General features: G+C 47.4%; 1 long non-coding RNA gene across 7 annotated transcripts in view, besides 1 other annotated feature; it reads right to left on the bottom strand.

The window, feature by feature from the left end:
* LOC112268071 (uncharacterized) overlaps window positions 1–12,874 on the bottom strand; it is a 57,527-nt gene that overhangs the window by 43,360 nt on the left and 1,293 nt on the right. The window lies entirely within an intron of this gene.
* Window positions 3,436–4,635: an enhancer, noted in NCBI's record as "CDK7 strongly-dependent group 2 enhancer chr11:5949120-5950319 (GRCh37/hg19 assembly coordinates)". NCBI's record gives its function as "activates an origin of replication core promoter dependent on BRD2, BRD4, P300/CBP, MED14 and CDK7 cofactors, with strong dependence on CDK7, by STARR-seq in HCT116 cells {active_cell/tissue: HCT116}" and the evidence as "EXISTENCE:reporter gene assay evidence [ECO:0000049][PMID:35650434]".

Here is a 12,874-nt window from a genome sequence, read left to right on the forward strand (position 1 = left end):
AAAACTCAAAAGAAATTCAAGATAACACAGAAGGAATTCAAAATTTTATCAGATAAATTTAACAAACAGATGGAAATAATTAAACAGAATCAAGCAGAAATTCTAGAGTTGAAAAATGCAATTGACATACTAAAGTGCATCAGAGTCTCTTAATAGCAGAACTGATTAAGAAGAAGAAAGAATTAGTGAACTTGAAAACAGGCTATGTGAAAATAGTCGGAGGAAACAAAAAAAATAAAAGACAATGAAGCACACCTACAATATCTAGAAAAAAAAAACCCGAAAAGTGAAAATCTAAGAGATATTGTCCTTAAAGAGGAGGTAGAGAAAGAGATAAAGATAGAAAGTTTATTCAAAGAGATGATGTTAGAGAACTCCCCAAACCAAGAGAAAGATATTAACATTCAAGTACAAAAAGGTTATAGAATACCAAGCAGATTTGACCCAAAGAAGACTACCTCAAGGTATTTAATAATCAAACTCCCAGATGTCAAGGAGGTAGTAGACACTGTGTCCTGTGTAATAACAGGACCCTTCTTAAATGCTGTGGCTTCCTCTGGGGGCTTGTTGCACAGGATTGTAGATAAGCTGGAGCTTTTCCATGGAAAATTAACAAATGTGTTGGGATAGCTGAAAAATGGGAACCAATTAAAGAAATTGAACGTTTTTAGTCTGAAATCTGGAACTCTAGTAGCCCTACAAGAAAAATGTCTGTGTATAAATACTTGATTTATTTATTCAGGGGAAGAAATAAACTCACTTTGTATTGTAAAAAAGACTAGAAAACAAAGACGTGTATAAGAGTGATGAGACGGAGAATAACATATCTCAGTTCAATCTAAAGAATCTCTAAAAACGAAATGCTAATACAAAAAGGATCTGTCAGAAAAAGCCATTCCCTTTCTGTCACTGGATCCAGTCAATAAAAGTTTGAAGGATAGATTGAAGGAAATACTTTTGACAAATTTACAGTAGCCAAAACAGCATGGTACTGGTACAAAAACAGACACGTAAACCAATGAAGCAGAATAGAGAACTCAGAAATAAGACCGCACACCTACAATCGTTTGATCTTCGACAAACTGGACAAAAACAAATGTGGAAAGGATTCCCTATTTAATAAATGGTGCTCAGTGAACTGACTAGCCATATGGAGAAAATTGAAAGTGAACCCCTTCCTTACACCTTACACAAAAATTAACTCAAAATGGATTAAAGACTTAAATGTAAAACCCAAAACTATAAAAACCTTAGAAGAATATCTGAGTAATACCATTCAGGGCATAGGCATGGACAAAGATTTCATGACAAAAATGTCAAAAGCAACTGCAACATAAACAAAAATTGACAGATGGGATCTAATGAAACTAAAGAGCTTCTGTACGCAAAAGAAACTATCATCAGAGTGAACATATAACCTACAGAATGGGAGAAAAAGTGTGCAATCTATCCATCTAGATATTAGACAAAGGTCTAATATCCAAAGTCTACAAGGAATCTAAACAAATTTACAAGAAAAAAACAAACTGCCCCATTAAAAAGTAGGCAAAGGACATGAACAGACACTTCTTAAAAGAAAATATTTATGTGACCAACAAACATGAAAAAAAGCTCAACATCACTGATCATTAGAGAAAAGTAAATTGAAACCACAATGAGATACCATCTCAAGCCAGTCAGAGTGGTGATTACTAAGAAGTCAAGAAACAACAGCTGCTGGTAAGGTTGCAGAGGAAAAGGAATGCTTTTACACTGTTGGTAGAAGTGTAAATTAGTTCAACCATTGTGGAAGATAGTGTGGTGATTCTTCAAAGACCTAGAGGCAAAAATACCATTTGACCCAGCAATCCTGTTACTGGATATATACCCAAATGAATATAAACCATTCTATTATAAAGATGCATGCATATATATATTCATTGCAGCACTATTCACAATAGCAAAGACATGGAATTAACCCAAATGCCCATCAAGGATAGACTCTGGGTAAAGAAAATATGGTACATGTACACCATGGAATACTATGCAGCCATAAAAAGGAATGAGGTCATGTCCTTTGCAGGTACATGGATGGAGCTGGAAGCCGTTATCCTCAGCAAACTAATGCAGGAACAGAAAACCAAATACCACATGTTCTCACTCATAAGTGGGAGCTGAATGTGGTAGAATAATGGTTAGAGAAAAATTCTTATATATATATATATTGTCCAATCAGTTTACATAAAGATACTTTGCAGTCTCAAGGTGCCATTTCTTCCAGTTCAATACAGGCAGCATTTCTTCACTATCTTAAACTGTCAAATGTGCCATTCCTAACTAATTCTGTATTTTCCATCACAAGAAAATTGAAGCAATGCTGCTATTATTCACAATACTATGACCCTTTGGAATATGTTTTGAGGAAATTATACAGATCTTCTTGCCTCCACAATACCCTAGTAGCATTTATTTAATACTAGCCTCAGCATTACTCATGACAATGCATTATCCATTGTGTCGCCCACAGATGCTGGCTTCTGTTCACCTTCTCAAAGGTTCTTACCCTTCTCAGTTGATGGTGACCACAAATGCAATTCTTGATCAGAATATGCAGGAAAATGTGAACAATAATTCATTTTCTGGACATGTTAAATTTACTCTTCACTTGACCACATATACTCTTTAGGCCATAATCACTGCATTCCCAAAGTCTTTCAATATTGATCATGGTCTCTCTAAGGATTCATATAATAGCATGCTCACAGGTATCTTCCATAACACTCCACAACAAAACAAATGTCTAAAAGAAAGACATTTTCATTTGTTCTTGGATTCAACATAGAAAACTTTTGAATTTTCAGAGCAATAAGCCGTGTTGCAATGTATCATGTCAAGATAAACTCATTAATATAAAATACTCAAGTGGTAAGGCTAAAATTTGAATTACAAAACAATATTTATTTTATATGTAAGATTACATATGTCAGGAGGTTCTATTCATAAACAGTGGATCTAACACATCAAGTGACATCTAAAAATCATTAGTTAATTATAAGTTTATTCTGAAAAATTTATTTTTATTACTTTTATTTCCACAAAGTCATTGTTACTGAAGTCCAGATTTTTACATGATAAATATTCTGTTGACATTAAAGCCAAATTAGATAAACTCTTCTTGAATCACTGTAGTCTTAAAGTAGATTTTTTTTCCTAATTTAAATTTAGAAAACTTCATTCTGCTAAAGTAGTAGTAACTAGAATTGTCACTAAAATCTTAAACCAATTACTGTAATTTGAAAATAAATGAACTTTACATATCATATCTAAATCTTGCAATGGTGTTGCATACAACGATGTATCTGTCGCAGAATATCTTAATTTTATCAAATAAAGCCCTACCAATTAAATTGTAAATATTTTCATTCCTTAATTCATTTCTTAAGTTTTTCTGCATTCAGAATTTTCATGTTTGTACAGAAAACTGAAAACAGCAGTGTGTTGCTACTTTATTCCAAATTTGGAATGGGAAAGGTTTGCATCCTGAAAGAGCACCTGGAGTGGAAGGGAGAGTCAGGTGAAACAGGTTCAGTGAGAGGCTGTGTGCTCAACAGGGTGGAGTCCTGCTTTGAAACCAGCCTGCTGCTCTGCACACATTCTTCCAAGATGGGCCCGGAGGTTCCTTCAAAGCAACACGGACTATGGATTTAGGGGTTCAAGACTCCTCCAGCTCTCCCTCTGCTTCTGCCGCTGCAGCAGGGATTGGAGGCGTTGCTTGCAGTGGGCTCTCTCCCCATTTCGCCTTCATGTCTCCCTATTCTGTTTTGCCTTTTGATCCTCCTAATCCTAGTCTCATTAATTTCTTCCATTGTATTCCTTCAGCGTCTTCCTTTTCCTCGGATTTCCCACTTTCTTACTGATTGGATCCCAGTGAAGACCCCAAGATTGCAGCCATCTTGACTGCCCTGACTCAGCATTCCTGGATTCGCCAGTTCCCGCCATCCCAGCGGCCATCTTGGCTACCCTGACTTGGCATTTTCACCTGTTCCCGCCATTTATTCCCGCCATCTCGGCAGCCACCTCGGATACCCTGACTCAGCATTTCCGGGTCCACCTTTCTTGTTCCCGCCGCCTCAGTGAACACGCATGCCCACTAAAGCACATCACTAAGGCACATCACTCATCTATATAAGCGCGCTGCACCTTTGGCACAGCGCGACTTCCCTGACCCTCCCCCTGCAGACCACTGAACCTCGCCGGAGAGCTCAATTAAGAAGATTTTTGCCCTCTTTGTCTCGCCTCTCGGCCTTATTGATCCACGGTGCCCTTCCATTGCCTTTCATTGGTGCCAAAACCCGGGAAGGGACACCTCCTAAGCCCCCCAGAGGCTCGAGGGGACTCCCCTCCTGGTCAGATCAGGCTTCTTCCCCACGGCTACCCATCCGTTTCGTTCGGTTACTTGCCACCAGGTTGCAGCTGCTGCAGCCACTCCAGTCCAATTCGGCTGACGCTGGGTGAGTACCCCTCCTTTTTCCTTTTGTCTGTTCCTCCCTGGCTGAGAGTCATGCACATGCCCAGGGAAAGTTTCCTTCCTCAAGGGAAGGCCAGTCCGGGCCACCAGGTGACCCAAGTTTACTTCCCCAGGGGAAGTCCAAATCGGCACTGACTACTCGGAGACGTCTGTGTCTGAAGTAGCCGATCCGAGGCTCCAGGAGCCACGTGGTCTGAGTGACCCCAGAAGGATGCTTCTGCTGTCCCTCAGACCGTGGCCATAAAGGGAAGGGGATGGGGTCCACCCAGTCCAAAATCGTGCAAAACACCCCCTTAGGGTGCCTCCTGCGCAACCTCCCAACTTTACAACTCGACCAAGATTTAAAACGAAAGCGACTAATTTTCTTCTGCACAGTTGCCTGGCCGCAATATACCTTAGACAACCAATCTCGCTGGCCCCCCGAAGGCACACTCAACTTCAATATCCTAAACGACCTTACCAATTTTTGTCAGAAGCAAGGCAAATGGTCAGAAATCAAATATGTTCAAGGGTTCTGGGACCTTCACTCTCCACCAGACCTCTGCGCCCCGTGTTCACTAGTGCAAGTCCTTTTAGCTAAAACCTCTCCCAAAACCTCTCCTGATCCGGACAAAGATGATCTTTCTCCTCTCTCAGACCCCATAGATAACTTATCTTCCCCTCCCCTCCAAACTGCAGCCCATGCTCTGCCGCCACCATACGCTTCCCCACCCCCCTCGGCTCCACCTTCAGGTCACGCACCGCCCACTTCCTCACGGGTCCCTCCTTCGCCAATCACGCCACCTCCTCCTCCACCTCCATCATCTCCTCCTCCTCCACCACTACCCTCACCTGCCCCTCCCAAGTCCCCTGTGGCCGCACACACCCAGGCCAGGCCGGCACTCCTTGCCCCGCTGCGCGAAGTGGCTGGAGCAGAAGGCATTGTTCGAGTTCATGTGCCTTTCTCCCTCGTTGATTTGTCCAAAATAGAAAGACACCTAGGCTCTTTCTCCACCAACCCTACTCTTTTCACAAAAGAATTTCACTATCTCTGTCAGGTTTATGACCTCACTTGGCACGATATCCATATTATTCTTACCTCCACCCTTTCCCCTGAGGAAAGAGAACGCATTCTAATTGCAGCACGGCAGCATGCCAATCAATTACATCTAACAGACCCCAACGTACCCGTTGGAACACAGGCGGTTCCATCCACCGATCCAGAGTGGGATTACCAAGTTGGGCAAGCAGGGCGTCGCCGCCGGGACATAATGGTTCAATGCCTCCTGGCAGGGATGCAGGTGGCCTCCAATAAATCAGTCAACTTTGACAAACTAAAGGAAATTGTACAATACCCGGATGAAAATCCGGCAGTCTTCCTAAATCGGCTGACTGATGCCTTAGTCCACTATACCCGCCTAGATCCGGCCTCCCCTGCAGGGGCAACCATCTTGGCAACATATTTTATTTCCCAGTCAGCAAGAGATATTAGAAAAAAACTAAAATAGGCGGAGGAAGGCCTCCAAACCCCTATTCAGGACTTAGTAAAGCTGGCGTTCAAAGTTTTTAATTCCCGAGAGGAGGCGGCTGAGGTACAACAACAGGCAAGATTAAAACAAAAAGTTCAGCTCCAAACCCAGGCCCTGGCGGCTGCCGTGCAACCGGCATTCCCTAAGAGCCCAGGCAAGAAAGGTAGAGGTACAATCTCCCGGGCCCCATCTGGCGCCTGCTTCAAGTGCGGCAACTCGGGACACTGGGCCAGCCGGTGCCCTAGCCAACAGCAACCGTCCTGCCTGCCTTACAACTGTTTCAAGTGCGGCAATCCAGGTCATTGGGCAAAGCAGTGCCCAAACCCCAAGCCGCCAATGCGCCCGTGCCCTAACTGCCGACAAATGGGGCACTGGAGGTCAGACTGCCCCGGCCTCAGAGCGGCCGCTGTGTCTCCACATGGCGACCCCTCCCCGGATGGTGAAGGCGCCTTCCAGCTCCTCCAACTGGACGATGACTGAAGAGGCCCAGACTCGGGAACCCCTCTCACCCTTGCCAAGCTCAGGGTAATGCTTCAGGTAGCAGGTAAGTCCATTTCCTTTTTACTGGACCCAGGGGCTACCTACTCTGTTTTGCCATCTTTTAGTGGGCCCAGCCAACCCTCCTCAATCTCTGTTATGGGGATTGATGGCACTCCCTCCACCTACCGCCAGACACCTTCACTGCCCTGCCGCCTAGACCACTCGTTCTTCACACACTCTTTCCTCATCATCCCTTCATGTCCAGTCCCTCTCCTAGGGAGAGATCTCCTGACCAAGTTAGGAGCCTCAGTAGTCTTCCGGCCCGGCCCATCCACCCACCTAGCTCTTCTCCTACCCCTCCTCTCAGCCGATACAGCAGCCCAGGCCTCTCCAACCCTGCCATTAGTCTTCCCTACCCCCGTTGACCCCAAAGTTTGGGACACCAACACTCCCGTTGTTGCCACACACCATAAGCCAGTCCTTATTAAGTTAAAGGACCCACTCAAGTTCCCTGCCCGACCTCAGTTCCCCATTTCCTTAGAGCACCGTCGAGGACTAAAACCCATTATTATTCGGCTTCTACAACAACACATCCTAATTACCACTAATTCTCCTTGCAATACTCCTATTCTGCCGGTACGAAAAGCCTCTGGGACTTACCGTCTAGTACAAGATCTTCGCCTCATCAACGAGGCAGTCATCCCTACAGTCCCGGTAGTTCCTAATCCATACACACTCCTCTCTCGCATCCCCCCCAACAGGTCTCACTTCACTGTTCTGGACCTTAAAGATGCCTTTTTCTCTATCCCACTAGACCCCGCTTGTTACTTCCTCTTTGCTTTCACATGGGAGGACCCAGACACTGGCGTCTCTAAACAACTCACCTGGACGGTTCTGCTACAGGGGTTTAGAGACAGCCCTCATTTCTTTGGACAGGCACTGGCCCAAGACCTCGCTCGCTGCCCTTTGGAGGCCAGTACTGTTATCCAATATGTTGATGACCTGCTCCTTTGCAGCCCCTCTGAGACAGATTGCCTTAAGGACACTTGTACTCTCTTAAACTTCCTAGGAAACTGAGGCTATAGAGTCACCCCGTCCAAAGCCCAACTATGTACCTCTAAAGTCACCTACTTAGGTATACGTCTCACCCCAAACTCAAAAGGCCTAACCTCAGACAGAATCAGCCTTTTACAAAATCTTCAGCCTCCACAAGATGCTGAAGATATTCTCTCCTTCTTGGGGCTAGTCGGCTTTTTCAGACATTGGGTCCCCAATTTCGGAGTCCTAGCAAGGCCCCTGTATCAGGCCACCAAACAGACCCCCCTTGGCCCACTGTCTGAGCCAAAACTAGTAGCCAATCTTTTCAATAAGCTTAAAAATTGCCTCATAACAGCCCCAGTCCTCTCACTCCCAAACCCGCTACGCCCATTCCATCTCTTTACCGATGAGCGGGAAAAGGTTGCTACAGGGCTCCTGGCCCAACTGGTAGGAAGAACACACCAGCCAGTAGCCTACCTTTCCAAGCAGCTCGAGCCCACTGTCCAGGGCTGGCAGCCGTGCCTGCAGGCTTTGGCTGCGGCAGCGAAACTCACCAAAGAGGCTCTTAAGCTTACCTTAGGGCACCCTCTCACTGTTTTCTCCTCACATAGGCTACAAGACTTACTCTCACACAAGTGCCTGAGTCACCTGACCCCCTCCAGACTCCAGCTATTTCATCTCCTGTTTATTGAAAACCCACACATCACACTTACTACCTCTCCAACTTTAAACCCAGCTACCCTCCTCCCCTGCCCAGAAAAGGACCCTGCATCCTTACACTCGTGTTCTTAAATCCTATCAACCCTACCCCCCGCGCACCTAAGCCTCCAAGACAACCCCATCCTAGATCCCCATCAGACCCTGTCTGTGGATGGTAGCTCCATCTCCACGCCGCAGGGCCAACGACGAGCGGCATACGCCGTGGTCACCTCATCTCAAGTAGTTGAGGCCAAACCACTTCCCACTGGTATAACCTCCCAGAAGGCAGAACTCATAGCTCTTACTAGAGCTCTAATTCTATCTAAAAACAAAAAAGTAAACATATACACTGATTCCAAGTATGCCTACTTAATAGCGCATACCTACTCCATTCTCTGGCAGGAACGGGGGTTCCTTACCACTAAAGGTACTCCTATTGTCAATGGACCCCTCATTGAGAAACTCATCCAGGTGCTAAAAGCCCCCACACAGGTAGCCATCATCCATTGCAAAAGCCACCAAAATTCTAAAGACCCTATATCATTAGGCAACAATTTCGCCAACACCACTGCCCGGGCCACGGCCCTCTTGGCCCCTTCCCCCACTCCTGTGTGCTTCCTCTCTCCTGCTTACACTCCCGATTACTCCCCTGAAGAGCTAGTCCACCTCATGGGTCACTCAGGAGTAAAAACCAACTCCAATGAGCGCTTTCATAGCCACACCCCTAACAAGAGTAATCAGGGCTGGATATTCGTGGATGATAGAGTAGTTCTCCCGTGCAGTCAGAAGAAACTCATCCTCACCGACATGCACCGTTCGTTACATATAGGCCCAAAGGCTTTATATAACTTTCTTGAACCCATAATCTACCATCCTTCCCTTTATTCCTTACTGAAGCAAATACATCAGGAATGCCATGTTTGCACAGTGGCAAACCCTCAGGGAAAACTTAAGCTCCCAGGTCCCTGTCACCAGCTAAGAGAACATCAGCCAGGAGAAGACTGGCAAGTTGACTTCACCCACATGCCTAGACACAAAAAGTTCCGTTATCGCTCCTGGTCCTTCAGATTTCAGCTCCTCAGACTCCTCTACAGGGAAAGCCCTCCCTGACTCCCCCAGCCAAGATGGGTCTCTTTGTTTTCAGATGAGATCGGCAGCTTGGGGCCAGGTGCAGTGGATCACGCCTGTAATCCCAGGACTTTGAGAGGCCGAGGCGGGCAGATCACCTGAGATCGGGAGTTCAAGACACAGCCTGAGCAACATGAAGAAACCCCGTCTCTACTAAAAATACAAAATTAGGAGCTCTCCCTCTTCCTCTCCCTCTCCCTCTCCCCACGGTCTCCCTCTCCCTCTCTTTCCACGGTCTCCCTCTCATGCTGAGCCGAAGCTGGACTGTACTGCTGCCATCTTGGCTCACTGCAACCTCCCTGCCTGATTCTCCTGACTCAGCCTGCCGAGTGCCTGCGATTGCAGGCTCGCGCCGCCACGCCTGACTGGTTTTGGTGGAGACGGGGTTTCGCCGTGTTGGCCAGGCCGGTCTCCAGTCCCTAACCGCAGGTGATCCGCCAGCCTCGGCCTCCCGAGGTGCCGGGATTGCAGACGGAGTCTCGTTCACTCAGTGCTCAATGGTGCCCAGGCTGGAGTGCAGTGGCGTGATCTCGGCTCGCTACAACCTCCACCTCCCAGCTGCCTGCCTTGGCCTCCCAAAGTGCCAAGATTGCAGCCTCTGCCCGGCTGCCACGCCGTCTGGGAAGTGAGGAGCGTCTCTGCCTGGCCGCCCATCGTCTGGGATGTGAGGAGCCCCTCTGCCTGGCTGCCCAGTCTGGAAAGTGAGGAGCGTCTCCGCCCGGCCGCCATCCCACCTAGGAAGTGAGGAGCACCTCTTCCTGGCTGCCATCACATCTAGGAAGTGAGGAGCGTCTCTGCCCGGCCGCCCATCGTCTGAGATGTGGGGAGCGCCTCTGCCCCGCCACCCCGTCTGGGATGTGAGGAGCACCTCTGCCCGGCCACCACCCCGTCTGGGAGGTGTGCCCAACAGCTCATTGAGAACGGGCCAAGATGACAATGGAGGCTTTGTGGATAGAAGGGCGGGAAAGGTGGGGAAAAGATTGAGAAATCGGATGGTTGCCGTGTCTGTGTAGAAAGAAGTAGACATGGGAGACTTTTCATTATGTTCTGTACTAAGAAAACTTCTTCTGCCGTGGGATCCTGTTGATCTGTGACCTTACCCCCAACCCTGTGCTCTCTGAAACATGTGCTGTGTTCACTCAGGGTTAAATGGATTAAGGGCGGTGCAAGATGTGCTTTGTTAAACAGATGCTTGAAGGCAGCATGCTCGTTAAGAGTCATCACCACTCCCTAATCTCAAGTACCCAGGGACACAAACACTGCGGAAGGCCGCGGGGTCCTCTGCCTAGGAAAACCAGAGACCTTTGTTCACTTGTTTATCTGCTGACCTTCCCTCCACTATTGTCCTATGACCCTGCCAAATCTCCCTCTGTGAGAAACACCCGAGAATTATCAATAAAAAATAAATAAATTAAAAAAAAAAAAAAAGTTCCGTTATCTTCTTACTCTAGTAGATACTTTCTCAGGTTGGATTGAAGCCTATCCCACCACTCATGAAACAGCAGAGGTGGTAGCTTCAACCCTCATTGAACACATAATCCCGAGATTTGGCCTCCCTCGGACAATCCAATCTGAAAATGGGCCTGCTTTTATCTCCAAGATAGTCAAACAGGTGACAACCACACTTGGCGTTAACTGGAAGCTACACACTCCATACCATCCACAGTCTTCTGGAAAAGTGGAACGCGCCAACGGCCTTGTCAAACAACACCTAATCAAACTGGCTCTGGAGACACGCCAATCGTGGGTAACCTTACTTCCCTTTGCCCTCGCGCGGCTCCGGGCAGCACCCCGAAGCCCCACAGGACTTAGCCCCTTTGAACTCCTATAGGGGCGCCCCTTCCTCTTTCAAGAGCTCCCTGTGAATACCCCACCTCTTAGCACGTACCTGCCCTACCTCACCCTGTTAAGGGAGCTGCTAAGAGAGCACGCCGACCGCAGCCTTCCAAAGCCCGGACCACTCGGCCCAGACAGTCTGGCCATAATAACCCCAGGAGATCAGGTACTAGTAAAAGACCTCCAGGCAAGAGGCCTCTCCCCCCGGTGGAAAGGCCCCATACGGTAATTCTTACAACACTGACGGCAGCTAAACTTATAGGCCTTCCTTCCTGGTACCATATTTCCCATCTTAAGAGGGCACCTACACAAGATCAGGCCACTTGGACTGTCACCTCCCTCTCCCCAACCAAACTGAAACTCTCTAAATCAAATACCGCATGAATTCTCCGTGTGACAGGCTCCAACAATTTATTCAAGTTCTTCTCGAGGAAAGCTGGTCATTCCCTACTTTTGCTAACACACTTCACTGGCCTGAAAATCTGTTAGCCTATATAGACGAACTAGTGTGGCAAGGCTCCCTCCAGAACTTTCACCAACAAGAAGTTCGCTTTTTTTGTCTTGTCACTCTTCTTACTCTTGCACACCAGTCGTAGTAGACAAGCCCCCTCTCAGACTCCCTCTCACTGGGTTTTTTTCCTCACTGAGAATTGGAATTCCGGACAGGCAGTCTCCTCTAGACTAGTAGCCACGGCAGCATGCCCGCCAGCAAGGTGCCAGGCACCCATAACTTTCCTAGGTCTAAAATTCTCCTCCTTAGGCCCAAATACAAAAAACCCAGCGCTTTGCTTCCTGTATGATCAAAGTAACTCCAAATGCAATACCACCTGGGTCAAAGAAAATGTAGGCTGCCTGTGGCACTGGTGCAATATCCATGAGGCATCCATTTATAGAAAGGATACCATGTTCTCTGTCAACACTTCAGGAGGCTTTAACGGATTTAACCTCCAAATCTCTGACCCTTGAGACCCCCGCTGGGCCTCCGGTATAGATGGAGGACTATATGAGCACAGAACTTTTATGTATCCGGTAGCTAAGATCCGCATTGCCAGGACCCTTAAAACCACTGTCACAGGGTTATCCGACTTAGCCTCCTCAATCCAGTCGGCCGAGAAGGCTTGCCAACCAGCTTCAACTGGCAGCTGACCAGGCCATGTCCTCCCCCTTCTCGTGGTTAACTTTAATCTCAGAAGGTACACAACTGCTCCAATCCACAGGGGTACAAAACCTCTCCCACTGCTTCCTCTGTGCGGCCCTTGGAAGACCTCCCTTAGTGGCAGTTCCTCTCCCTACCCCCTTTAATTATACAAGAAATTCATCCACCCCTATACCACCGGTCCCGAAAGGACAGGTCCCACTATTCTCAGACCCTACAAGACACAAGTTCCCGTTCTGTTACTCCATCCCAAATGCCTCTTGGTGTAACCAGACCAGGATGCTTACCAGTGCCCCGGCACCACCCGGAGGCTACTTCTGGTGTAACTCCATGCTAACTAAAGTTCTTAACTCAACTGGTAATCACACCTTGTGCTTACCCGTCTCTCTCATCCCTAGCCTGACCCTATATAGTCAGGACGAACTTAGCCATCTGCTAGCCTGGACCGAGCCAAGGCCGCGAAATAAAAGCAAACGGGCTATTTTCCTACCCTTAGTACTAGGCATCTCCTTAGCCTCCTCC

The sequence above is a fragment of the Homo sapiens genome, chromosome 11, assembly GCF_000001405.40.
Source record: "Homo sapiens chromosome 11, GRCh38.p14 Primary Assembly".
Classification (NCBI taxonomy): Eukaryota; Metazoa; Chordata; class Mammalia; order Primates; family Hominidae; genus Homo; species Homo sapiens.